At 37.3% G+C, this 27231-nt stretch overlaps 2 protein-coding genes across 17 annotated transcripts in view; one reads left to right on the top strand and one right to left on the bottom strand.

Annotated features, from left to right (window-relative positions):
• FBXO22 (F-box protein 22) overlaps window positions 1-10277 on the top strand; it is a 38634-nt gene extending 28357 nt beyond the window's left edge. For all 3 annotated transcript variants that reach the window (NR_037623.2, NM_147188.3, XM_047432382.1), the window contains one exon: window positions 451-10277. Coding sequence is in view for 2 of the 3 variants with exons in the window: in NM_147188.3 (NP_671717.1) it covers window positions 451-868 (418 nt within the window). In the remaining variant the exon portion in view is untranslated. The remainder of the gene's footprint in view (window positions 1-450) is intronic.
• Window positions 3159-27231, bottom strand: part of NRG4 (neuregulin 4) — a 124848-nt gene continuing 100775 nt past the window's right edge. For 7 of the 14 annotated variants that reach the window (XM_047432183.1, XM_047432182.1, XM_047432181.1 and 4 more), the window contains 2 exons: window positions 23698-23777; window positions 3159-4076 (listed from right to left, as the gene is read on the bottom strand). In XM_047432183.1, coding sequence (XP_047288139.1) covers window positions 4036-4076; window positions 23698-23777 — 121 coding nt within the window. In that variant the 3' untranslated portion in view covers window positions 3159-4035. Of the gene's footprint in view, window positions 4077-8701; window positions 11421-23697; window positions 23778-27231 lie in introns of those variants that run through there. The other 7 variants (XM_017021948.3, XM_024449848.2, NM_138573.4 and 4 more) reach the window with 3 other exon arrangements.

Genomic DNA, 27231 nt, shown 5'->3' on the forward strand with positions numbered 1-27231 from the left:
TATTATATTTTTAATATACATCTTTCAGAATTTGACAGCTGAAGTCGGGGGGAAGAGATGTTAATGTAAACAATAGCAGAAGGCTTCGTTTAGTGGATATCTTTGTGTATATTAATAAAATTATAACATTCCTTTTAAGGAAGTCAGAAAGGTAAGGAAACTGTACTTTCTAATAACCGGATATGGGTTTCAGAAATCGTTATGGATGTGCATTGCCCCTTTGTATTTGTGACTGAAAAAAATGGTGGCTTCTCTTGATCTGCCTTGTGCATTTTTTATGTATTAATTTTGATTTTTGACCCTATTTTACTCACCTATGAGGGTGAGCCTCAGATTAACCATAGGCTGCTAAAGGCAGCAGCCTCCCGTCAGTGAATCAGGAGGATTTTGCTTCTATACTTAAAAATTTTAATGTTTCATGAGATATTGCCACTTTTCTAAATTTTCCAGGAACCCTCTGGATATTGATGCCTCGGGTGTGGTTGGACTGTCATTTAGTGGACACCGAATCCAGAGTGCCACTGTGCTCCTCAACGAGGACGTCAGTGATGAGAAGACTGCTGAGGCTGCGATGCAGCGCCTCAAAGCGGCCAACATTCCAGAGCATAACACCATTGGCTTCATGTTTGCATGCGTTGGCAGGGGCTTTCAGTATTACAGAGCCAAGGGGAATGTTGAGGCTGATGCATTTAGAAAGTTTTTTCCTAGTGTTCCCTTATTCGGCTTCTTTGGAAATGGAGAAATTGGATGTGATCGGATAGTCACTGGGAACTTTATATTGAGGAAATGTAATGAGGTAAAAGATGATGATCTGTTTCATAGCTATACAACAATAATGGCACTCATACATCTGGGGTCATCTAAATAATAATTAAAGTGGCTTTCATAATATGTAACTTTTGGGTTCTGCCTTTTTCAGAAAATGGAAACTTGGGCCATGTGTATTTCAAACAAAAATAACTTTAGATATATCTTTTTTGTAGCTTTGATTGATGCTCTAAGATCACATGAGGGTAGTATTTAATATATTAGATGAAGGACAACTTTGGACATAACACTGACTAGGAGTTGAGAGCTTTTGCATCAGGCAGAAGCAAACTGATTATAGTTGTGTTGCACCAGATCATGTAGCTGCTGTGTAACATGACCTTAAATAGTCTTCCTGCATAGGAAGAGCAAAAGGGTATTCATCAATAGGATATAGATTTAAGACATTCCCTGACTACCCCTTGCGTTGTTAGGTGATGTCTTTTAGCAGAATCATGAAGACCTTTTTTCTCCCTTAATAAAGGAGAAAAATATACTGATGGCTGGAGAAATTTTTCTCTGCCTTTCAGTTTTATGAATTTTTTCAGAAGTAACAATATTATTATTGACTTTTTACTTATTTGATAAAAATTAAAGAACTATTTTTGTTTTGGTCAGATAAATTGACAAGACTAATCAGTATTTTATTATAAGTAAAAGATTTTTCTTCTTTCCTTAAAAATATTTTTTTTTCACCTAGGTCTAAATAGCTAACTAACTGGTAGACCAGAGTATTACATCATCTTATTTTGGTTTTATACCAATAAAACATAGCGTGGAACTCATTCAGGTAATGTTTTGCATTTCATTGCTTTTGGATGAACAAAGGAAGTAAACTAATCCTTTATAAATGAAAACCCAGAATAGTTGGTATGTCAGCTAGTCATTCCTGTCATATTCCCAGTAGAATGATTTTCAAGTTTGAATTTCTGTACAAATATCTAAATAAGAGATGTGCAGAGAGCACCAATTTTCCTTCAATATCCATTCTTTACTTTTCACATAATGATAGAACCTTTGATTTTTCAAGTGGGTATGCCTCCTAGAATAAAGACTACATTTCCCAGTCTCCTGTGCAGGTATGACTGTGTTCTGGACAATGGAATGTGAGGGGAAACGATTTTTTGTGTCCTTAAAATGGCATGACCATTTATTTGCCCCTTTCTCCATCCTGTTGCTTGGAATGTGGATCTGGTAGTGAGCCATCTTGGACCCTGAAGAGGAGGCAACACACCATTGTAGAAGAAAAACAACAGAAGGATCCTGGTCCCTGTACGACCTCATTGAAGAAACACCATAAGTGGCGTGGACTATCTACCTCCAGACTGTTTTACAAGAGAGAAATTAGCATATTCCATCTAATACAGTATGATGTAACTAATGTTACTTTTGTAACAGTCAGTGGTTTGTTCTAACAGGACAGTAGAACACTTGCAAGGTAAGTAAAACCAAATGTATTAGCATTATTCCTGCTTTTCCTTTTTTGTCACTTTTATCCTTTTTTTAAAACTGAAAATATTTTTCTCTTGCTATTTATATATATATGATAAAAATGCTTGGAAGAGTCCTTTAATTTATGGTTATTCTAAATCCTAGTTCCTGAGGCAAGTCCAAAGAAAAATTTGTCAAAACTTTTCATCTATGAATATTTATATTTAGCTCTTGCTATTTAGCTATTATCAAAATACCTCAAAATTTTAGTCCTTGAATGTGCTCATATAGCCCATAAGGCAAATATTTTTTAAACTTTATTGTCCCTGATATTAACCAGAATTGGTTGAATAGTAGAGGAAAAGGGATTTTTAAAACTGAAAATATGAACAAAATGAGCCTTAGAATTGAATGGATTATTTTAAACAAATTAATACTCATATAAAATGTTTTGCTGCTTCTCAAAGAGTCTGATACAGGGTAATTTCATACAATATTTGATGTTGTTAAAGCATTCCTTTTTATAGCTGAGCCTTTGGAGCTTGTTATGAACAGTAAAATCATTTAGTCACATGGTTGTAACCTTAGTGCAAAGTAAAAAGGGAAAAGTTGACCTAATAGAAACAATAGTAGTATTGATAAGAACAAAAGTCATCCTCCCTGCCTCTCAGAGGCCCTGAAGTCCTGTGAGGAAGGGAAATAGTAATTTAACCAAAGTTAAATCTGTGTAACTCATTTATTACAATTTTGAAAGGCTTGTCTTAGAAGCATTAAAGGAGTATTAGCTAAAAACAAACTAAATTCCTAGAGATGACAATCATTGTAGTCCTCTGTGAAACTGAAAATGATCACATGAAAAAAATGTGAGCATAAAAAAGAGAAGTAAAGGTGTACCATTAGCCTACATACTGAGCTGACGATCAGATCATAGAATACTTTATTTAATCAAGACATTTAAAAATACTTATTTCATCTACATACTTTCAAAGCAAAATAATTTCTGGGGCTAGTTTCCTTTGTATAAGGCTTAAGCAAGGAATATATTTCCATGCCCTTTGATCCAAGTAAAATCTAAGGAAGAGGGAAAGTAAACCTTGAAATTAAGACCTAGAAATAGATCCACCCTTGCAGACTGATAAAAGTGGGCAATCTAGTAGGCCAGTTCACATTACAGTTATCTCAGTTTTGCTTAAAGCAAACCCTAACCCTCAACCTACGAGGCCAGATAGCAAAAGACGTGCAACTGGTTTATATTGCAAATTTAACAAAGTGAACATGCAAAGAATTACAATAGAAATAAACTTTTACAAATCTGAGAACTTTCTTTTTTTTTGAGACGGAGTCCCGCTCTTTAGCCCAGGCCGGATTGCAATGGCACAATCTTGGCTCACTGCAAGCTCCGCCTCCCAGGTTCACGCCATTCTCCTGCCTCAGCCTCCCGAGTAGCTGGGACTACAGGCGCCCGCCACCGCGCCCGGCTAATTTTTTGTATTTTTAGTAGAGACGGGGTTTCACCGTGTTAGCCAAGATGGTCTCGATCTCCTGACCTTGTGATCCGCCCGCCTCGGCCTCCCAAAGTGCTGGGATTACAGGCATGAGCCACTGCGCCCAGCCACAAATCTGAGAACTTTCTATGCAATCTGCAGAAATTTTTAAGAATATAAATATGCTTTTGTCATTTTATACCCAGTCTGGCCCAGGTTTGCACTGCCATAAATTCAGTTTTAATGGGAACAGAAGACTCCAGATCCTCTTGATGGGAAGAAATCATGAAATTTTAGATGATTGACTTGGTTTTCATTTGTAGAAACTGGGTATGAGTTGGCTTAATGAAAATCCTAAAATAATAAAATAAGCATTAGTAATAATATCCTTGTTAAATGAACAAAGTGAATACGATATAAAGAATGTGATACCAGAAAGTTACTTTAATATTGACCCTATATAGGGAAGAATAATCAAATATTTGCAAAATATGTTATTTTTGTTTTATATATTTAACTTCTACCCTATGCCACAACTGAAGACAGGTTACAAGAACATGTGCTACTACAAAGTAGGAAACTGGCAGAAGCCAATAAGTATCACTTAATATTTTGGTATGGAAACTTTTTTTTTTTTGAGAGAGTTTTGCTCTTGTTGCCCAGGCTGGAGTATAATGGCACAATCTCGACTCATTGCAACCTCCACCTCCTGGGTTCAAGTGATTCTGCTGCCTCAGCCTCCCTAGTAGCTGGGATTACAGGCATGCGCCACCATGCCTGGCTAATTTTGTATTTTTAGTAGAGATGGGGTTTCTCTGTGTTGGTCAGGCTGGCCTCAGACTCCAACCTCAGGTGATCTGCCTGCCTCAGCCTCCCAAAGTGCTGGGATTACAGGCGTGAGCCACCGTGCCCAGCTGGAAACTTTCATTTCTTAAAACAGATTTATAAAAGTTTTTGCTATATAGTGACTGTTAGCCAGTAAAAACAGGGAAGATTGATTAATTTAGAAGAAATTGAAAGAAAATATATTTATTAATGTTGCTTTTAAATGCAAATTATCAGATTGAGGAGAATTTTGAGACCATTGACATTTTTCTAATTATGACTAAAATTTAATCACTATACTTAATAAACATACTCTATTCAAGGTCTTGTAATAAAATTATAGGGAGGAATAAAACATAATTGACCCCAGCGACATCAGCAAAAATGGGTGGACTAGGAAGCTGCAAGCTTTTGTTTGCCTATCAAAACATTAAAAAAAAAAAAGAGGCCGGGCGTGGTGGCTCACGCCTGTAATTCCAGCACTTTGGGAGGCCGAGATGGGCAGATCACGAGGTCAGGAGATCGAGACCATCCTGGCTAACACAGTGAAACCCCATCTCTACTGAAAGTACACAAAATTAGCTGGGCATGGTGGCGGGCACCTGTAGTCCTAGCTACTTGGGAGGCTGAGGCAGGAGAATGGTGTGAACCTGGGAGGTGGAGCTTGCAGTGAGCCGAGATCGTGCCACTGCACTCCAGCCTGGGCAATGGAGCAAGACTCTGTCTCAAAAAAAAAAAAAAAAAAAAAAAAGCAACTGTCTGAACGAACCTTGTTAGAGCTTTGGAAAACAGTCAAAGGTTTACAGCAACCAAAAGAATGCCCAATCATCTGCAGAATGGTAGGAAAATATTGTGACTTTTTAGTGGCTCTTGCCCGAGCCTCTCCCTACATTGTGGCAGTCTTAAAGCAGCAGAAGCCCAGTCCCCTCCCTTGAACTGGAGAAAACATGCTAGACCTTTTTTGCAAATTACTGTGTACATTTTTTTCTAACCTGTCTGCGGATACTTGAAGGACTGACACAAGGTCACATGTTTGTTTTGCCTAACTGGTAGGGTGGGCACTGCTTACAAAAGCTGCAAAGAACCACAGGTGCATGGGGCAAGAGGTTATGGGTGTAAACATAAAATAGAACAACTAAGGCCCAGAGGAGAATCTGGGGTAAGACTTTGGGAAATTAAGAACAGTTACATATACAGGGGGGATTTAAAATGCGACATGCATGCCCAGGGAAAACACTTGCCCGGAAAGTTCTAAGACCCAAGCTTTCACCTTGGTCTGGTCCCTAAGCCCAAAAGCAGGCCAAAGTAAGTATTGAAGGATTACCTGGGACAAAGCTGATTTGTAAAATCTAGGATTGCTCCTAGCATTCAAGGGAATTTATGTCAAAATAGCTGAACGTGACATAAAAGGAAGAGAGACTTCAGTGATCACACACAGAAGGAATAGTCTTTTATAAAAATAATTTGGAAAACTCTCAAAACAAATGGATGACAGCTTTTAAAAATAAAAAAACAATGAACCAGAAAACCGTGGGGAAAGGAAAGAATCTCATACCTAGAGTTACCATATTATAATAGTGAATATCCAACTCTCAAGGAAAAAAATCACAAACCATACAAAGGAACAGGAAAATAATGCGCATTCAAAAGATCAAAATTAATTGACCTTGTCCTAATGAAGGACATTAAACTAGACATATACTTTAACTCAAATATGCCCAAAGAACTAAAGGAAAACATGAACAAAGAATTAAAGAAATCAGGAAAATGATAAATGAACAAAATCAGAATATCAACAGATAGGCATTATAAAAAAATTCTGGCAGAGAAAAGTATAATAAATGAAATTTTCACTACAGGGGTTCAGCAGCAGATATAAGCAGGTAGAAGAAAGAATCAGCAAACTTGAGATGGGATCACTGAAAGCAGAAACAACAAATCAAGCCTACATAGTTTTAAAAGATACATATCACACACAAAGAAGTGAAGAAGATATGGTGCATTTTTGAACCACAACAGGATGTAGTTAGAAATCAGTAACAAAAGGAAAATTGGAAAATTCACAAACTTGTGGAAATTAAACAAAACACTCAACCAATGGGTCAAAGAAGAAATCACAAGGGAAATTAAAAAGAGAAAAATGCAACATACCAAAATTTATAGGATGCAGTGAAAGCACTGCTAAAAGGGAAATTTGTAGACATAAATGCTTACATTAAAAAACAAAAAAGACCTCATGTCAACAACCTGACTTTGCAGCTTGAGGGGGAAAAACATACTAAATCCAAAGCTAGCAGATGGAAGGAAATAATAAAGATTAGAACAGATATAATAAATTGAATAAAGATTAGAAACACTAGAGAAAAATCAGTGAAACTACAAGTTCTTTAAAAGACCATAAAGTTGGAAAGCCTATGCGTAGATAGACTAAGAAAAAAAGGAAGACTCAATTGCTAAAATAAATGAAAATGGGAACAGCACTCTAGATTCTAGAAAAATGAAAAGGGTTATAGAAGAATACCTTCGACAATCTAGATGAAATGCTCAAAGTCCTAGAAATGCAAAACGTACTACTGCTGAACTATGAAAAAAATTTAAAAATCTCAATAGAACTATAACCAGTAAGGTAATTGAATTAGTAATCAAAATTCTCCTGGAAAAAAAGCACTGGACCTGATGGTTTTCATTTGTGAATTCTACCAAATAAGAAGAAATAACCCCAATCCCTTCTAACTTTTCCCAAAAATTGAAGAGGAAGGACGCTGCCTAATTCATTCTGATGCTGAAGCCAGACAAAGATACTACAAGAAAAGATTACAGACCAGTTATTCCTTATGATCGCTGATTCAACAATTGTCAATACTAGGAAACTGAATTTAGCAGCATATTAAAAGGATTGTACACCACGACCAAATGGAATGAATTCCTGGAATGCAAGGATTGTTCAACATACAAAAATCAATATAATATACTACATTAACAGAACGAAGCGAGAACCAGATGATCATCTCAATTGATGCAGACAAAGCATTTGACAAAATCCAGCAGCCTCTTGTGATTAAAAACACTCAACAAATGAGGGATAAGAGGAAACTACCTGAACATAATAAAAGCCAGACATGAAAAGCCCACGGTAGACACCATACTTAGTGGTGAAAGCTTTTCCTCTAAGATCAAGACAATGCTCATTTCACCATTCCTATTCAACACAGTACTAGGAGTTCTAGCCTGAGCTAGAAAAAGAAAAGACATCTAAGTTGGAAAGTAAGAAGTAAAATCCTATATGTTCACAAATGATATGATCTTTAGACAACCCGAAAGATTCCACACCAAAAAAAAAAAATAACTGTTAATTCAGTAAGGTAGCAGGATACAAAGTCAACCCACAAAAGTCAGTTGCATTCCTATACACTAACAATGAACAACCTGAGAAGGAAATTACAAGAACAGTCCCATTTACCATAGCGTCAAAAAGAATAAAATGCACAGAAATTAGCTTACCCAAGGTGGTAAATGGCTTGTACAATGAAAACTACAAAACATTGCTTCAATAAAGATAAAAATAAACGGAAATACATCTCATGTTCATGGATTGGAAAATCTAATGTTAATATGTCAGTACTACTCAAAGTGATGTGCAGATTCACTACAGTCTCTATCAGAATCCTAGGATTTTTTTTTTTTTTTTTGCAGAAATAGAAAAACCCATCCTGAATTTCATGTGGAATCTGAAGGGATCCCAAATAGCCAAGTCAGTCTTGAGAAAGAAGAACAAATTGGAGGACTTAAACCTGCAGAGTTTAAAACTTACTATAATGCTACAGTAATCAAAACAATGTGATTCTGGCATAAAGGCAGACGGATAGACCAATGGGATAGACTGGAGAACCTAGAAATAAACCCTCTCATATGTAGGTAAATGATTTTTGACAAGGGTGCCAAGGCTATTCCAAGGATAGTTTTTTCAACAAATAATGATGGGAAAGCTGGATAACCACATGGCTAACTAACAAAGTTGCAACCTCACTCATTTGCAAAAATTAACTCAAAATGGACCAAAGACCTAAATGTGAGAGCTAAAACCATAAAACTCTTAGGATGTGGCAGTGGTTTCTTGGATATGACACCAAATTCACAGACAACGAAAGAAAAAATAGGCAAATTATACTTCATTAAAATTTTGTGCATCAAAGAACACTATCAACAGAGTAAAAAGATTACCTATGGAGTGGGAGGAAATAATATGCAGTTCACGTACCTAATAAGGATTAAACATCCAGAATACATACAAAACTCCCAAAATGCAACAACAGTGTAAAAACCTGATTTAAAAAATGGCAAAGGATTTGGATAGATCTCCAGAGAGGACATGCAGATAGCCAGTGAGCACAGGAAAAAATGCTTAGCATCACTAAACAGTAAGGAAATGCAAATCAAAACCACATTGAGATACCACTTCATACCCACTGGGATAGCTCTTATTAAAATTAAAAAAACACACAAGTGTTGGCAAGGATGTGGAGAAATTGGAACTCTTATTACTGATGGAAATATAGTGGTATGCAGCTGCTGTAGAAAACAGTATGGTGATTTTCCAATTAAATATAGAATTGTCATTTGATTCAGCAATTGCATTTCTGGGTATATACACAAAATAATTGAAAGCGGAGGCTTGAGGGTATATTTGTATACCAGTGTTCACTGCAGCATTATTCACCGTAGTCAAAAGGTAGAAACAACCCAAATACCCAACAGATGAATGGATAGACAAAATGTGTTATATCCATACAATGGAATATTATTCAGCCATAAAAAGGAAATCCTTCTACATACTACATCATGGATGAACCTTTCAGACATTAAGTAAATCACAAAAGGACAATACTATATGAATCCACTGATGTGAGGTACCTAGACTAGTGAGATTCATAGAGACAAAGTAGAACAAAGATTACGTTTTGTCACAGGGAGCAGGAGGGAATGGGAATTTATTGTTTAAGGGGCACAGAGATTAGTGTGGGATCATGAAAAAGTTCCGGAGGTGCATAGTGGTGACTGGTACATACAACGAATGTATTTAATGCCTTTAAACTGTAACTTCAAAATGGTTAAAATTTAAATCTTACGTACATTTTGCCACAGTAAATTTTTAAACCACCAAAAAAAAAAAAAAAAAAAAATATGGCCTAGCTTTTTTTTTTTTTTTTAAAAAGGGCAGGGGGTGGGGTATTTAGTCACAAGACATAGAGGAACTTTAAGTGTATATTGCTAAGTGAAAGAAGTTAGTCTGAAAGGCTACATACTACATGATTTCAAATATATGACATTCTGGAGAAAGCAAAGTTAGTAAAGACTGGTTGCCAGAGGTTCAGTGGGAGAGAGGGAGGGGTAAATACATGGAGTAGAGATTTTTAGGGTGGTGAAACTACTGTATACAATACTATAATAGTGGATACATGACATTATATATTGGTCAAAATCCATAAAGACATACAACAAAAAGAGGACCCTTCATGTAAATTACAGGCTTCAGCTAGCCTGGATGACAGAGTGAGACTTTGTCTCAAAAAGTAAAGTAAAAATGTGTCAATATTGGTTAAACAAATATACCACACTAGTGCAAGATGTTAATAATAAAGGCCTGGGGTGGGGGGAAGCATAGGGGAACTCTATACTATCTGCTCAGTTTTTCTGAAAATCTAAAACTTCTAATAAAGTCTATTAAAATTATGTGAGAGCTTTTCATTTTGTGTACTCTGTCTCAATGTCTTACCCTCATGTGTTTGTGAAATGAGTGAATGATGGGTGATGAATGAATTGGTGACACTAGTGACCCACTGAATTCACAGCACTTACACTGGGCCAGACTGTGTAGAGAAGCCAGCGTGCATCCCAGCCTTGACGAGGACATAGTTCAGAGACAGGCTGTTAGGTTTGGCCGGTGCATGCCCTTCTGCCTAAGCCATTTACCAGCCCCAGACCTTTCCACTGCTCCAAGACTTTATTTTCATACTTCCTTAAAGTTACTATTGCTTTTTTTTCCCCCATGTAACTTAGGTAGAAAAAACTGGAGAAACTAAATTGTTCTGACCTAATCAGTTCTTAATATTGCACCTAAAAAGATAGAAACTGCATTCTGAAAAATCATGCACTAAAAATTACAAGGGAAATAGGTTTGGAACTTTGTGACCTGTGTAGTACAATAACAATCCTAAATTTCCAGTTACTTGCACCTAGAATTAGTCAATCTTTTGCAGTCAAAATTTTGGGTTTTTGTTTCTTCCTTTGAGAGACAGATCCTTGAAATCAGTCACTTCTAGTAGAAAGCATTTTCATCAATATTGAAAGAATGATACAGAGGTATCTATCAGTCAGCGCTTTTTTCTAATTGCCAGGTGAAATGTCTTCTCAGTTTTTTCATCAGTACTTGCAGCTTCTCAGATAACAGCAGGAATGAGGTGGTTTTGAAGCCACTAAGCCAGCTACTCCTTGCATTTAAAGGGTTTTCATCCTTTTTCATAAGATCTTCATATATCCCTTAGGGTTTCTCTCTAGGTGTGTGAACATTTGCCTCTGGTTGCTTCAGCACATCAGCTTTCTGGGGAGAGTCATGTTGAACCAATGTGACTTCGAATTATACTGGTATCACCCCCTACTTAGCAGTTGCCGATGGACTGATGCACATTACAGAAGCACACACACCTTGCAGCAGAATGGATTATGGTTCATGATACGAGTTACACAAGCGTTTTATTTAAGAAATAAAGGATTAGATTTTTAATTCTTTTACCTAGTGGTGTTTCATTTTCTGCCTTTGTAAAATAAAAACAATGATTTGGTTCACTTTGACGTTTCTTCAGTGTTGTTCATGACCTGTGAAAAATAAGTAAGAATTAAGATGCTTTCTCCATTGCAATGTTTCTTACTACGCACACCTATCTACATGTCTCTTATCTTCTTCACATATATAAGCCAACCCCTTCTGTTTGTGATAGGATGTGTTGAGGTAAACTAACCTAGAATATCAAAAATTTCCAGCAGCCTGACAAGACTCCTCAGAACACTGAGTTCTGTCAGATTCCCCATTCAAGTCTCACATATAAAGTTCCCTGCATGCCTGCCCACACCCCCCGCCCCTCACTGTCTTTGCTCACTGCCTCTTACCCAAAGTTCTAACAAGCCTGGTGACCTGTCTTAGATATACAAGTTAGAAAAGGGTGGTTGAGGGGAAAAGATTGCTAGAGTGAGTCACTGTAACAGCAATGACAATAATAGATGGCAAGAAAATACCAAGGAAACAAGGACTAATAAAACCTGTGGCTAATTGGGACTATTTAGAGACAAAAATTCCCTCTGTAGCCAGCAAGTCCTGAGACTAACACCCATATCTGTGGAAATGCAGTAAGAAAAACATGGGTTTAACCTCCCTAAACCTCAGTTTTCTCATTGTAGAGTGAGAATAATACCACCTACTCCATACAGTTGTTAAGGTTTATAGGAGTTAAAATATTTGAAATATTAACCATAGTACCTGGCACACAGGCATGTGGTGTGCATGATCATACTGTTACACTGCTTTCCATTTGGAGAGTTGTGTTGTCAGCATTAGGGCATTATTGCAGTAGGGATGGTGTCTAACAACAATATAAATGCATGCTAAGACTTCAGGCTGTGGATTTATGCTAGGAATACATTGGAAAGATTGCCCGGGGAGGCTTACATTCCAGAAGCACACAAGGCGACATGAATAAACCTATCGATGAAGTAAGGCTTGATGGTGTGGTGGCAGGAGGACATCCTTGGTGAAGGAAGGTCATTAATAAGTTTTAAAAATATAATGTACCTTTATGCTATGATTTTCATAATATGAGCTAACATTATTAAGCAAGTCCCAGTCTTCATAATCGGCTCTCCTCATCAGAGAATCTAACTTTATTTTCATGACATATCTTGTCACATTTAGTAAAAGGCTTTTGTGTGTGTGTGTGGGGGGGTGGTTATTTGCTTATAGTTATGGTGTTGCAGTTATTGACTGAGATTGTTCAACCTTGAAAAAACGGTCAAATGAACTAATTTTGTCAGCTGAGCCTAATACCTTACCCCTGTTTTTAACCTTTGTTATGATGTCTTTTTCTTACAAAAAAACAACAGTAATTTAATACTTTTTTTAATACTTTTTTTTTTAACAAGTATGTCTTTATAAAGTCAAGCTGTTTTATATGTGTGTGGATTCTAAAAAATAAGTCCTTACCATGTCACTGAACATTCTGGGGAAAAGAAAAAAATCAAGAGGCAAACCTTTTGGGGAAAATGCTGTTGATGAATTACAAGCATGGTACTTGTGCATTCAAGATCTAATGGCAGGATTCTATTCCCAAACTTGTTTATATCAGATTTGGCCCCTAGCATTAACCTTTCCAGTTAACACCACGATAAATTTAAAATCTTTCCATTCTCTGATATATATATTTTTTATCATTTATTTTTATTTTATTTTTTTTGTGGAATCTCACTTTGTCACCCAGGCAGAGGCACAATCTCAGCTCACTGCAACCTCCGCTCGGGTTCAAGCTATTGTCCTGCCTTAGCCTCCTGAGTAGCTGGGATTACAGGCGCCCGCCACTATGCCCGGTTCATTTTTGTATTTTTAGTAGAGACAGGGTTTCACCATGTTGGCCAGGCTGGTCTCGAACTCCTGTATTCTCTGAGAATTTCTTCATGGTTATTTAACCATCAAGCACTTTAAAAATTAATGTGGCTCCAGACATTACAAATATAGCAAAGATCTACAAACCTAACAAACAAAAGACATGCTTTTACTCATGTACAGGAGTAAAGTATGGGAACAGATTATCCCTCCTGATAAGTGATAATTCTGAGCACAATAAAACACATCAACTGATAGCATTATTTAATAATGGCATCTCTTTCAGGCTGACTGACTTTTTATTGTGAAATATACTTAACAAAATTTACCATTTTAACCATTTTTAAGTTCAGTAGCATTAAGTACAGTAGTCCCCTCTTCTCCATGGGGGATACATTCCAAGACCCCAGTGGATGCCTGAAATCACAGACAGCACAAAACCTAAATATACTATTTTTCCTGTACCTATGATAAAGTTTATAAATTGGACACAGTAAGATTAGCAATAACTAATAATAAAGTAGAACAATTATAACAATATGACAGCATCACTACTCCTGCACTTTGGGGCCATTATTAAGTAAAATAAGGGTTATTTGAACACAAGCACTGTGATACTGCAACAGGAGCTCTGATAATGAGATGGCTACTAAGTAGCTAATGGGTGGGCGGCATATACAGTGTGGATGTGGTGGGCAAAAAGATGATTCACATCCTGAGTAGGTCAGCGGGAGATTTCATCATGTTGCTTAGAAGGGTGCGCAATTTAAAACATGAATTATTTCTGGAACTTTCCGTTTATATTTCAGACCACAGTTGACTGTGGGTAACTGAAATTGCTAAAAGCTAAACCACCAATGAAGGGTCATTATTGTACATTTACATTGTGTGCAACCATCACACCATCTCCAGAACTTTTTGTTTGTTTTGTTTGATTTTGTTTTTTTGAGACGAGGTCTCGCTCTGTCGCCCAGGCTGGAGTGCAGTGGCACGATCTCAGCTCACTGCAAGCTCCGCCTCCCGGGTTCACGCCATTTTCCTGCCTCAGCCTCCCAAGTAGCTGGGACTACAGGTGCCCGCCACCACGCCTGGCTAATTTTTTTTGTATTTTTAGTAGAGACGGGGTTTCATCATGTTAGCCAGGATGGTCTCGATCTCCTGACCTCGTGATCCGCCTGCCTCAGCCTCCCAAAGTGCTGGGATTATAGGCGTGAGCCACCGCGCCTGGCCCTCCAGAACTTTTTCATCATCGTAAACTGAAACTCTACCCATTAAACAGTAACTCCCTATTCCTCCCGACAGCCCTGGTGACCACCATTCTACTTTCTGTCTCAGTGAATTTGCCTATTCTAGGTGCCTTGTATACGTGGAATCACACAATACTTACCTTTCGTGTTTGGCTTTTTCACTTAGCACGTCTTCAGGATTCACCTATGTTGTGGCATGTTTCAGAATTTCATTCCTTTTTAAAGCTAAATAATATTCCATTATAGGTATATACCACATTTTATCTATTCATCCACTGATGGGTATTTGGGTTGTTTCCACCTTTTGGCTACTGTAAGTAATGCTGCTATTGAGGCAGGAGAGGTAGTCAAGGAAGTAACCATGTTCTTGGTTACAGGGGCGACCGTGCTGTCAACACAATAAGCCCAGCATTCGCATTGTAGTCCAGCTCATTCAAGCAAAGCTATCTCCAGTAGGAAATTTCCCTGTAGGGAGCATGTGCATTTTGATTTTACTTGTCCTCAGACTGGCCCATTGCTCATTATAATTGTAAAAAACACTTCCCTGAGGAGAGATTTCAGATGCTAATGAGATATATGATGTGTGAACAAACACGTACAGCTACTGGCATGTGCACCCAGAGGACCAGCCAAAACATGCTTACTAGTAACAGCTCTTCCCACCTCCTCATGAGTAATAATCTAAGACTCCCAGAAAGGGAGTCTCCCTAGTGCCAGTCTTTGCTGTCTCATCCTTATGAGTAGCCTGCCCTGAATCCTCTCTCAGGGTGTCCTGTCTATTCTGCACCTAACTTTCAAAATATTCTTTCTCCTTTGCAATAATATTGCTATATGCTGCATCTCTGTTTTGTGTCTCTTGTTTAAACTCTTTTAAACTGAAAAGACAAGAACCAAGGTCTCACAACAGCCATTAACACTATGAGTGTAGGTATACAAATATCTGTTTGAGTCCATTCTTTCATTTCTTTTAGATGTATACCCAGGAGTGGAATTGCTAGATAATATGGAAATTCTGTTTAATTTTTTTTTGAGGACTTGCCATATTGTTTTCTTAAAGTGGTCGCACAATTTTACATTCCCACCAACAATGCACAAGGGTTCCAATTTCTACGTGTTCTCACCAACACATGGTTTCTGGTTTTTTGTTTGTTTGTATCAATAGTAGTCACCATCCTAAAGGTTGAAAGTGGTACCTCATTGTGGTTTTGATCTGCATTTCCCCAATAATTTGTGATGTTGAGTATCTTTTTTCATGTGCTTATTGGCCATCTGTGTATCTTCTTTGGAGAAATGTCTATTCAAATCCTTTGCCCGTTTTTGAATTAGGTTCTTCTACTTGTTGTAATTGAGTTTTAGAAGTTCTTTATATATTCTGGGTATCAAATCCTTACCAGATACATGATTTGTGAACCTTTTCTCCCATTCTATGGATTGCCTTTTCACTCTGCTGATAGTGTCTTTTGATGTGCCAAAATTTTAAGTTTTGATGTCCAATTTGTCTAACATTTCTTTGGCTGCCTGTGCTTTTGGTGTATAAAGCAATCATTGCCAAATCCAATTTCATGAAGCATTCCCCCTATGTTTTCTTCTCTTAGTAATTTTAGCTCTTACGTTTAGGTCTTTGATCCACTTTATTTATTTATTTATTTATTTATTTATTTATTTATTTATTGAGATGGAATCTCGTGATCTCGGCTCACTTCATCCTCCGCCTGCCGGCTTCAAGCAATTCTCCTGCCTCAGCCTCCTGAGTAGCTGGGACTACAGGCACGTGCCACCATGCCCAGATAATGTTTTGTATTTTTAGTAGAGAAGGGATTTCACCATGCTGGCCAGGCTGGTCTCGAACTCCTGACCTCGTGATCCGCCCACCTGGGCCTCCCAAAGTGCTGGGATTACAGGCATGAGTCACTGCGCCGCCCGGCCCTAGTTAATTTTTGTATATGGTGATAGGTAAGCGTCCAACTTCATTCCTTAGCATGTGGATATCCAGTTTTCTCAGCACCACTTATTGAAAAACGGGCTTTTAAAAACAACTTACTGAGGTATAATCTACAACTTAAAAAATTTACTTTTTTAAAGTATGTAATTCAGCTGAGCACAGTGGCTCATGCCTGTAATCCCAGCACTTTGGGAGCCCAGGCAGGAAGACGGCTTGAAACCAGGAGTTTGAGACTAGCCTGGGCAACATAGCAAGACCTTGTCTCTACAAAAAAAATGTAAAAATTAGCCAGGCATAGTGGTGCACACCTGTAGTCTCAAATACTTGGAAGGCTGAGGCAAGAGGACTGCTTGAGTGCAGGAGCTCAAGGTTGCAGTGAGCTATGATCACGTCCCTGCACTGCTAGAGCCTTGGGCAACAGAGCGAGACCCTGTCTCAAACAAAGAAGTCTACAATTCAATGAATTTTAAAATTTACAGAATTGTGCAATCACCACCACAATCCCATTGTAGAATAAATCCATTACCCTAAAAAAGATCATGTGTCCATTCCGAGCGGCCAAGGCAGGTGGATCACATGAGACCAGAAGTTCGAGACCAGCCTGGCCAACACCAAACCCCGTCTCTACCGAAAAATACAAAACACTAGCCAGGTGTAGTGGCACATGTGTGTAGTCCCAGCTACTCGGGAGGCTGAGACACAAGAATCCATTGAACCTAGGAGGCAGAGGTTGCAGTATGCTGAGGTCATGCCACTGCACTCCAGCCTGGGTGACAAAAAAAAAAAAAAAAAAATCTTGCCCAAACTTTAAATGGGCTGTCTTTTTATTATCGAGTTGAAAAAGTTCCTTATATATTCTAGACATGTCCTTTATCCATCTTTTATATCCATTTGCAAATATTTTGTCCCAGTTTGTGTCTTGCCTTTTCATTTTTAGAATGGTGTCCTTTGAAGCACAAAAGTTTTAAATTTACATGAAGCCCAATTTATGAAATTTTTTCTTTTTATCGATTGTGCTTTTTGTATTGTATCTAAAAATCTTTGCCTAATTCAATGTCACAAAGACTTTCTCTTATGTTTTCTTCTAAGGTTTTTGTAGTTTTAGCTCTTATATTTAGACCCATTTTGAATTTTTTTTGTGCATGGTAAAGGGTCTGAATTCATGTTTTTGCATGTGAATATCCAAACTGCCCCAGTATCATCTGTTGGAATGACTATCCTTTCTGTATTGAATTGCCTTGGCAGCTTTGTCAAAAATCAATTGTGGTCTATCTGGATGCCCAGTATGAAGCTTCTAACTTTGTTCTTCTTTTTCAAAATTATTTTCTCTATTCTAGGTCCTTTGCGTTTCCATGGGAATTTTAGAACCACCTTGTCAATTTTTACAAAAACACCTGTTGGGATTTTGTCTGGGATAGCACTGCATCTATATAGGTCAATTTGAGAACTGACACCTTACAATATTGAATCTTCCAAATCTATGAACAAAATATAACTCTCCATTTATTTAGGTCTTCATTTCTCTCAGCAATTTTTTTTTTAGTTTTCAATACATAGGCCTTTCGTATTTTTGTCTGATGTATGCTTATGTACTTAATACATTGAGATTCTATCATTAATAATTTTTTTAAATTTCCATATCTAATTGTCACTGATATATAGGAATACAATGGACTTTTTTGAAATTTTAAGATAAGTTTATTAAGTCCAATGATGAAATCTATCAGAAGAATATTCTCCTGAAAATAATTTCTTCTTGGAGAAAAGGAAAGGAAAATCAAAACCCTCTGAGCATAGCCAGGATGCTGTGGCAGTCGAGCCTCTCTACAGATGGGGACAGTCCCTCTGGTCAGTGGAGTCACTCTCTGGGTCAGCAGGATTGGAGTCTGGATCATCCTCCTCATCCCCCAGCTCCAGGTCATCCATTTACTGGTACAAAGACTCAATTACCTCCGTTGTTTCCAGCATCCTCCAAGAACTGGATATCAGATGTGTCAAGATTTGGATCTGTTTCAAGTAGCTGCTTCCCACTTATTTTTTCCTGTTTATTCTTTGATTTGGTTCTTTTTGATTTCCAAGAGTTCAGTATCAAACACGGCTTCTCAACTTAAGAAATGCTTAATTGTAAACAGGAATGCCATGGAATAATTGCTCTATGGTTTCTTCTGCTTCTTTTTGTTTCTTGCCCAAATTTTAATTGGATTGACTTTTTATTATTGATTTGAAAGAGTTCTTTTTATATTCTAGATATATGTCTTCCTCCCTTTTGCTTTTTATCCATTTCATTTAATTTTTCTTGCACAGCTGTCACTAAAGATCATCACCATGCCAAGATTTCTTCAGCTTGTAATGCTAAGAATTTTTAAATGTCTGAGACATTATCTTCTAGATTTTCCAAGAATGTTTCATAAAAAGGAGCTTCATTTGGGTATTTCTCACTGTCTGTAAACTTGAGGATAGTCTGGACAGTTTCATTATTTTCTCCAGCCTCAGATATCACAGTAATGGTAGAGCTGGGTGGGTTCTTCTTTTCTTTTTCTTTTTTCTTTTTTTTTTTTTTTTTTTTTTGAGACGGAGTCTCACTCTGTTGCCCTGGCTGGAGTGCGGTGGTGCAATCTCAGCTTACTGCAACCTCTGCCTCCTGGGTTCAAGCGGTTCTCCTACCTCAGCCTCCCGAATAGCTGGGATTACAGGCGCCTGCCACCACGCCCAGCTAGTTTTTGTATTTTTAGTAGAGACAGGGTTTCACCATGTTGGCCAGGCTGATCTTGAACTCCTGACCTCAAGTGGTCTGCCCCCCTTGGCCTCCCAAAGTGCTGGGATTACAAGGCATGAGCCACACCACACCTGCACCAGCATGACATATCTTTATTCATCCTTTTGCTTTTAACTTGTGTCTTTATACTTAATGTATATTTCTTGCAGATAGCATATCACATTAATTTTTATCCAATTTTACAATCTCTATCTTAACTGGGTGACTTAGACTTTTTACAGGTTGCTCTAGAGTTTCTAGCATACACTTTTGACTTATTACAGTTTCCCTTCAAGTGATGACGTACTGCTTGACATTCAGCATAAGAACCTTACAGTGGGGTATTTCCCTCGCTACCCTCCCAATCTTTGTATTTTCTTATTATACATTTTGCTTTTATGTATGTTGTAAGTCCCATATTATGTTGTTATGATATTTCATTAAATGGTCAATTATTTCTTAAGGAGATTTAAATAATACGAGAAAGATCTTACACATTTACCCACATAGTTGTCATTTCTGGTGCTCTTCCTCCCTTTATGTAAATCCATATTTCCATCTGATATTGTCCTTTTGCCTGAAGGACTTCCTTTAACATTTACTTTAGTGAGGTTCTGGTGATGATAAATTCTTTCAACTGTCATATGCCTGGAAAATCTCTATTTTGCCTTCATTTTTTTCTAAATAGTTACTGATTTTTTATGGTTTTGAGATACAATCACGTACCATAAAATTCACTCATTTAAATTGTACAATTCAATGGCTTTTAGTATATTCAGAGTTGCACAACCATCAGCACAATCAAATTTATGACACTTTCATTCCCAAAAAGAAAGCCCACATCCCTTAGCCGTCACTCCCCAACATCCCCCCATTTCCTCCAATCCTAGGCAAACATTAATCTACTGTCTGTCTCTATAGATTTGCCTGTTCTGGGCATTTCATATAAATGTTATAAAATATGTGTTCCTTTATGACTGGGTCCTTTACTTCAGCATGTTGTTTTCAAAGTCCATCCATGTTGCAGCATATATTACTACTTAATTTCTATTTCCTGCCGAATAATATTCCATAGTAGGAATATAACACATTTTATATATCCATTTATCAGCTGATGGACATTTGACTAATTTCTACTTTTTGGCTATTATAAATAATGCTGCTATGTGCTACGAACATTCATGTGCATTTTTTTTTCTTTTTTTTCGCCCTCCTCAAAGTTTTTTTTTTTTTAAGAGATGGGGTCTTGCTATGTTACCCAGGCTAGCCTCAAACTCCTGGGCTCAAGTGATCCTCCACTGCGGCCTCCCAATAGCTGGGACTACAGAAGTATGCCACCACACTTGGTTTCATTGTGGTTTTGATCGTCATTTCCTGATGGCTAATGATGATTGTCTTTTCATGAGATTACTAGTCATTTGTACATATTATTTGGAGAACTCTTTTCCAATCCTTTGCTCATTTTTAAAATGAGTTGTTTCTTCATTAAGTTGTAAATATTGTTTATATATTCAACTACATATATGTATTTCAGATCATATGTATAAGTCTCATATGTATGATTAAAAAAATTTTCTCTCAGAAGTAGATTGTCTTTTCACTTTCTTGAGGGTATCCTTGGAAGCACAAAAGTTTTTTGTTTTTAATGTTGATGAATCCAGTTTTTGTATTTTTTCTTTTGTTGCTTGTACTTTTAGAATCATAACTCAGAATCCATTGCCTAATCCAAGGTCATGAAGATTGACACCTATGTTTTCTACTAAGAGTTATATGGTTTTAGCTCTTATATTTAGATCTTTGATCCATTTTGAGTTAATTTTTATATATGGTATGTAGGGGTTTAAATCCATTCTTTTGTGAGTGGATATCCAGTTTTTCCAGCACCATTTGTTGAAAAGACTATTATTACCCCCCACTGAATTGTCTGGCACCCTTTAAAAAATGCATTTACTATAAATGTAAGAAGGTATGTCTGAACTCTCAATTGTATTCCATTCATCTATATGTCTATCCTTATGCCAGCACTACTTTGCCTTGATTACTGCAGCTTCATAATAAGTTTAGAAATTAGGAAGTGTGAGTCTCCTAACTTTGTTCATCTTTTCCAAGATTGATTTGCCTATTTTGCCTTGTGTTTGAAAGATATTTTTGCTGGATGTAGAATTATAGGTTTACTTTTTAAAATACATTACAGATGTTGCTCCATTCTTTTAAGGTGTGTTATTTCTGAAAAATGCCTGCTGAAATCCTTAGCTTTGTTATCTGTCTGTAATGTGTCTTTTTCTAGCTGCCTTTAAGACTTTATCACTGGTTCTGAGCAATTTGATTATGATGTGTCTTGGTGTATTACTACTCTGTTACTCAGGCTGGAGTGCAGGGGCACAATCTTGGCTCACCGCAGCCTTGACCTCCTGGGCTCAAGCAATTCTCCCACCTCCCAGGTAGCTGGGACTACAGATATGCACCATCATGCCCAGCTAATTTTGTTCTTTTTTGTAGAGATGAGGTCTCACTATGTTTCCCAGGCTGGTCTCAAACTCTTCGGTTCAAGTGATCCTCCTGCCTCAGCCTCCCAGAATGCTGGGATTACAGGCGTGAGCCAGAGTGCCAGGCCTTTGTTGAAATTTTTATATGTGTGAATTGATTGCTTTTATTAAATCTGCAAAAATTTTTGACTCTTATTTCTTCTGTTCCCTCCTCTCTCTTATCTCCTTCAGGGACTCAACATTATGCCACCTGCAGTTGTCGCACAGTTCACTGATGCTCTTTTCATTAAAAAAATTTTCTTTCTGCATTTCTTTTTTTCTTAGTTCTACTGCTATATCTTCAAGTTCACCAATATTTTCTATGGTGTGTAATCTGCTGTTAATACCATCCAGTTTTTGTTTTTTTGTTTTTTTTTTTTTGATCTCAGACACTAGTTTTCATCTCTGGAAGTTTGGTTTGGGTCCTTTAAAAATATATCTTCCATGTTTCTACTTGACTTTTGAATCTATGTAATACATTTATAATAACTGTGCTTGCCTGGTATTTAAAGCATCTGTATCAATTTCAATTTCTTTTTTTTTTTTTTTTGAGACGGAATCTTGCTCTGTTGCCCAGGCTGGAGTGCAGTGGCACAATCTTGGCTCAATGCAACCTCCGCCTCTGTGGTTCAAGCTATTCTCCTGCCTCAGCCTCCCGAGTAGCTGGGATTACAGGCACCCACCATTGGTTTTTTTTTTTGTATTTTAGTAGAGATGGGGTTTCACCACGTTGGCCAGGCTGGTCTTGAACTCCTGACCTCAAGTGATCCATCTGCCTCAGCCTCCCAAAGTGTTGGGATTACAGGTATGAGCCACCATGCCCGGCTTTCAGTTTCTTAATATTTCTCATTTTGAGCACATTTTCTGCTTCTTTGGAGGTTGGTAATTGTATTGGATGTGAAACATTATTAATTTCACCTGTTGGGTACTAGCTATTTTTCAGCATTGTTGAGCTTTGATCTAGGATGTAGTTATTTGGAAACAATTTGATTCTGTCAGCTCATGCTTTTACAGTTTATTAGGCAGAACTGTAGCAGTGCTTAATCTAGGGCTAGTATTCCCCACTATCAGGCAAACACCTTTCTATGTACTCTACCCCGTGCCCCGTGAATAATGAGGTTTCCAGCCTCAGTGGGAACAGACACTTTTCCTGGCCCTGTGTGAATACTGGGCACCTCTAATCCTTCAGGTGATTTTTTCCACAACCTCAAGTATTTTCCTCCCACACATGCCCTGATTAGTACTCAGCTGAATACTTGAACTGAAAATCTCTGGAGTTCTCTCTTCATACACCTCTCTTTTTTCCAGGACTCTCCTCAGTACAATATAGTCACCTTGATCTTTTTGGACTCTTAGCTCCATCTTCTCAACTCGGAGTCAGCCAAACTCAGCCTGGGGTCCCCCACCTTGCACAAAAGCCTGGAAATTCTCTCCAGGCAGTAATCTAAGGCAATCATTGGCTTACCTAGTCTATTGCCATCTCTCAGGGCTCATGGTTCCTTTGATGACTGATAGCAATGTCTTCATATATTTTGTCTTCATAAATTTTAATGCTCCATATATTTTGTCCATTTTTTGTTGTTTTAAGTAGAAGGAAATAAATCCAGTGCCTGTTACTCCATCTTGGCCAGAAGTCTCAAGACAATTTTAAAACATCAATTTGTCTACAAGTTTCCCAAAGATTTGCTGATCTTTACAGGTAAAACTCTTCTTCCTCCCCATATGCTGGCTCACTTCAAAATATTTCTGAGAAACCAGTCCCTTATATCTGTGTAGCACATTAGAGCTACATCAGAATTTCATATATTGAGATAACATTGTTTTCTTTGGGAAAAAATGTGATTTGTGTCATACTGATAATAAATTCATTTTTATGTGAAAAAGGGTACCTGGCCAAAAAAAAAAAAAAAAACCCATAGAAAAGTTTAGGCTCAACCTTTTTTTTCTGGATAGATCTAAATACAAATCCCTACATCTAACAACAACAGTCTCATCTAGGGTTTTAAAATAAGCATTTGTTTTGAGTTTACTCACTGTGGTGGGCACTGGTACTGCTCGTCTCTACCAGGTTGATATCATACTGGACTGAACTGGCTCTCTGAAAGTGGCCTTTCCTGACAATAAAGAGGAGAGAAACACAAAAATGGAAGTGTAATAGGAAAAGCATGTCAGAAGACCTAGAAAGAAAGTTTTTTTTTTTTAATTTCCCTTCTTCCCCCTTTTTACAACACATCAAATGAAAGTATAAACTTGACTATTTGATGGTTCATTTTCTTTCCACAACTACCTGAAATTGTCAGTGATGCTTTAAAACTGTTCCCCATTATTTAACAAATCCATTAGTACACATAGATCATCTGTGGGGACCAGATGCTGATGATGCCACCTGGTCTTTTTCCTTTAAGACAACAGCAAACCTGTTGTATCTTAATGTAATTTTTGTGCTCTTTTTAAAGAAGTTAGCTTTCATTATCAGTTGGGACCCTTATGTGACATGGGGTGCCTTTAGTCAATTATTCTAGTAATGGCATTTTAAAAAGTAATTTTGGACATTTTTGAGGTAACAGTACATCAGGTTTTTCAGTCATTTGATCAGTTAATATAGGTTATGATTTATGTTATGATAGATTTTGGAATGTACAGTTGATTTCATTTTTTGCAGTATGTCTATATGCAGTTTTAGCTTACATTAATGAAAATGAATTCAAAATCACTTTTACCATTGCAAAATGATGTGTATTTTCTAAAAGCATACTTGCTCCTATTCCGGAGACACTACTGATTCTAGCCCAGATTTTAGCATTAGTGGGGTATCATTTTGGACCTCCTTCAATGATGGCACTAATTAGTTACTAAAGTTCAAAAGGACCTCAGTTTAAAGCAATTTCAACCACTAATGGACCAAAAACTATTACAGAAAACAATTTCATTCTTGAAAGCACATTTCCAAGTTCACATGGTCACTACAGGACAGCCTAGATCTTGTGACACACTTTCTATTTATCCTGTTTTTTAGCTTTCTTTTTTATTTATTTTTAACTAATTGGTTATTTTTAATTCCATTTTTGTCCTTCTGCTAATCCGGCAATTATACACTTTGATTTTCTATTATGTGTTACCCTAGACATTTTAATACTCATCTTAAAATATCAAGGTCAAAATTAACTTATATATTTATCCTCCCCCCATACAAAGACCTTAGTACACTTTAAGCTTATTTGCTATCATGTGTTTTAATTCCTTTAAAAAAATACATAGGACAATACTATGTTATAATTTATACAATATTTGTTTTGATATTCACATAGTAATAGCTTTCTGTTCTTTCTTGCACTTCACACACGCCGTATAGGATCAACTTCCTTTTACCTGACATATATCCTTCAGGCAGAAGGTTTACTGAGGGATAACTCTCTCAAAGTTTGCTTATTAAAAGTTGTCTTCATCTTACCCTCATTCCTGAGAGATGTTTTCACTGCCACAGAAATTTGGGGTTAACTGTTTTCTCTCAGCATATTGAAAATATCACTGCTCTGTCTTCTAGTTTTGCTTCTTTCCAACTGAGAAGTCAGCTGTTGGTTTAATTGTTGCATCTTTGACGATAATCTGCCATTCTTTTCTGCTTTTGTGATGTTCTCTTTAGAACTGGTGTTCTACAATTTCACTGTTGCACCCATATGTAAATTTATTTTTATTTATCCTGCTTGAGATTTGTTAGGCTTCTAACATCTACGGGTAACTTTCATCAGTTCTGAAAAGGTCTCTGCCTTTACTTTTTCAAATACTGCCTCTGCCCCAGTCTTTTTCTTCTGGAATTCCAACTAAACATAAGGTAGACACACACACTCTGGTCACCATGCTTCTTGACTTCTCTTCAATATTTTCCATTTCTTTTTCTCTTAGAATTACCCTCTGGGTAATTTTTTCCTATCTATTTTCCAATTCATTAATTATTTTATTGTGTTTAATCTGCTGTTTAAAGACATACACTAAATTTTAAAAATTTATTGAAGATATGTACTGAATTTTTAAAAATTATATTTGATTCATTGGAGATCTGTTTTAGTCTTTGCCACATTTGCTTATTTCTAAGCCTCTCACTTAATTTTTATTTTCTATTTTTTATTTTTTTTGAGACAGAGTCTCGCTCTGTTGCCCAGGCTGGAGTGCAGTGGTGCGATCTCAGCTCACTGCAAGCTCCACCTCCCAGGTTCACGCCATTCTCCTGCCTCAGCCTCACGAGTAGCTGGGACTACAGGCACCCGCCACCATGCCCGGCTAATTTTTTGTATTTTTAGTAGAGACGGGGTTTCACCATGTTAGCCAGGATGGTCTCGATCTCCTGACCTTGTGATCCGCCCTCCTCGGCCTCCCAAAGTGCTGGGATTACAGGCATCAGCCACCGTGCCCGGCCACCTCTCACTTATTTTTTGATACATATTAAACATACTTATTTTATATCATGTGTCTGATTCTTCCAATAAATACAGATTTCTGAATATCTTACCCTACTACCTACTGTTTCTGCTAGTTCTAATAAATTGTGCCTCTTTTATTCTACGTTTGGTAATCTTTTCATACTGTGAGACGCTTTTCAAGGTAAAGGATAAAAGTAGGCTCTTCAAGAATTGATTTGTATTTGTTTCTGTCAACCACCTGATGACATTACCAGCCTAGATTATTTTATATTCTTAGCTTTTTACCCCCAGACATTCAGAGAGTGTGAATTCAGGATGGAGACCCACATAATGTTTGTGATTGGAGCTTTCTTTTCTCTTGTATTCAGCACCACTTCTTGTTCTTATATATATACGCTTTTCCTTCTATTATACCTATACTTTCTACTCAAAAGGTATTGTTTAGCCTGCTACAGGGTACTTCAGACTAGAAATATTTCTAAGTTCTGGCACAAGTCTGCAGAACAGCTATAGCTTAGAAGGTCTCCTTTCTGAAACTTTGCTGCTCTGGGGCATTGAACACCTGTGGGGTACAATATACTATGCCCTTCACAAACTCAATGGGTTGGCAAAGGAATTTCATTTTGGGGCAACTACAACAATATTAAAGTTCCATTAATTTGTTTATTTATTTATTTTTTTTAGAGACAGGGTCTTGCTCTCTCACCCAGGCAGGAGTGCAGTAGTGCAGTCATGGCTTAACTGCAGCCTCTCATTCCTGGGCTCAAGCGATCTTCCCATCTCAGCCTCCCAAGCAGCTAGGACTACATGCATGTGTTACCACACCTGGATAATTAAAAAAAAAAATTGTTTTGTACAGACGGGGTCTTGCTATGTTGTCCAGGCTGGTCTTAAACTCCTGGTCTCAAGTAGTCCTCCCACCTTGGCAGGATTACAGGCATGAGCCACAGCACCTGGCCCAAGTTCTATGGATTTAATATCACACAAATCACTCTCAACAATTCCCAGTGGAATAGCAGATATTCTTATAAATCCTTTGGTCACTATATTAGATATGTATTTCTGGCTCTTTATCTTATGAGCATATGATTGAATTGCATTTCCTGACAGCTGGATATATTATATGTCTCTTATTGTAAATATATGTAAA

Source organism: Homo sapiens, chromosome 15 (genome assembly GCF_000001405.40).
Source record: "Homo sapiens chromosome 15, GRCh38.p14 Primary Assembly".
In the NCBI taxonomy this organism is placed as follows: domain Eukaryota; kingdom Metazoa; phylum Chordata; class Mammalia; order Primates; family Hominidae; genus Homo; species Homo sapiens.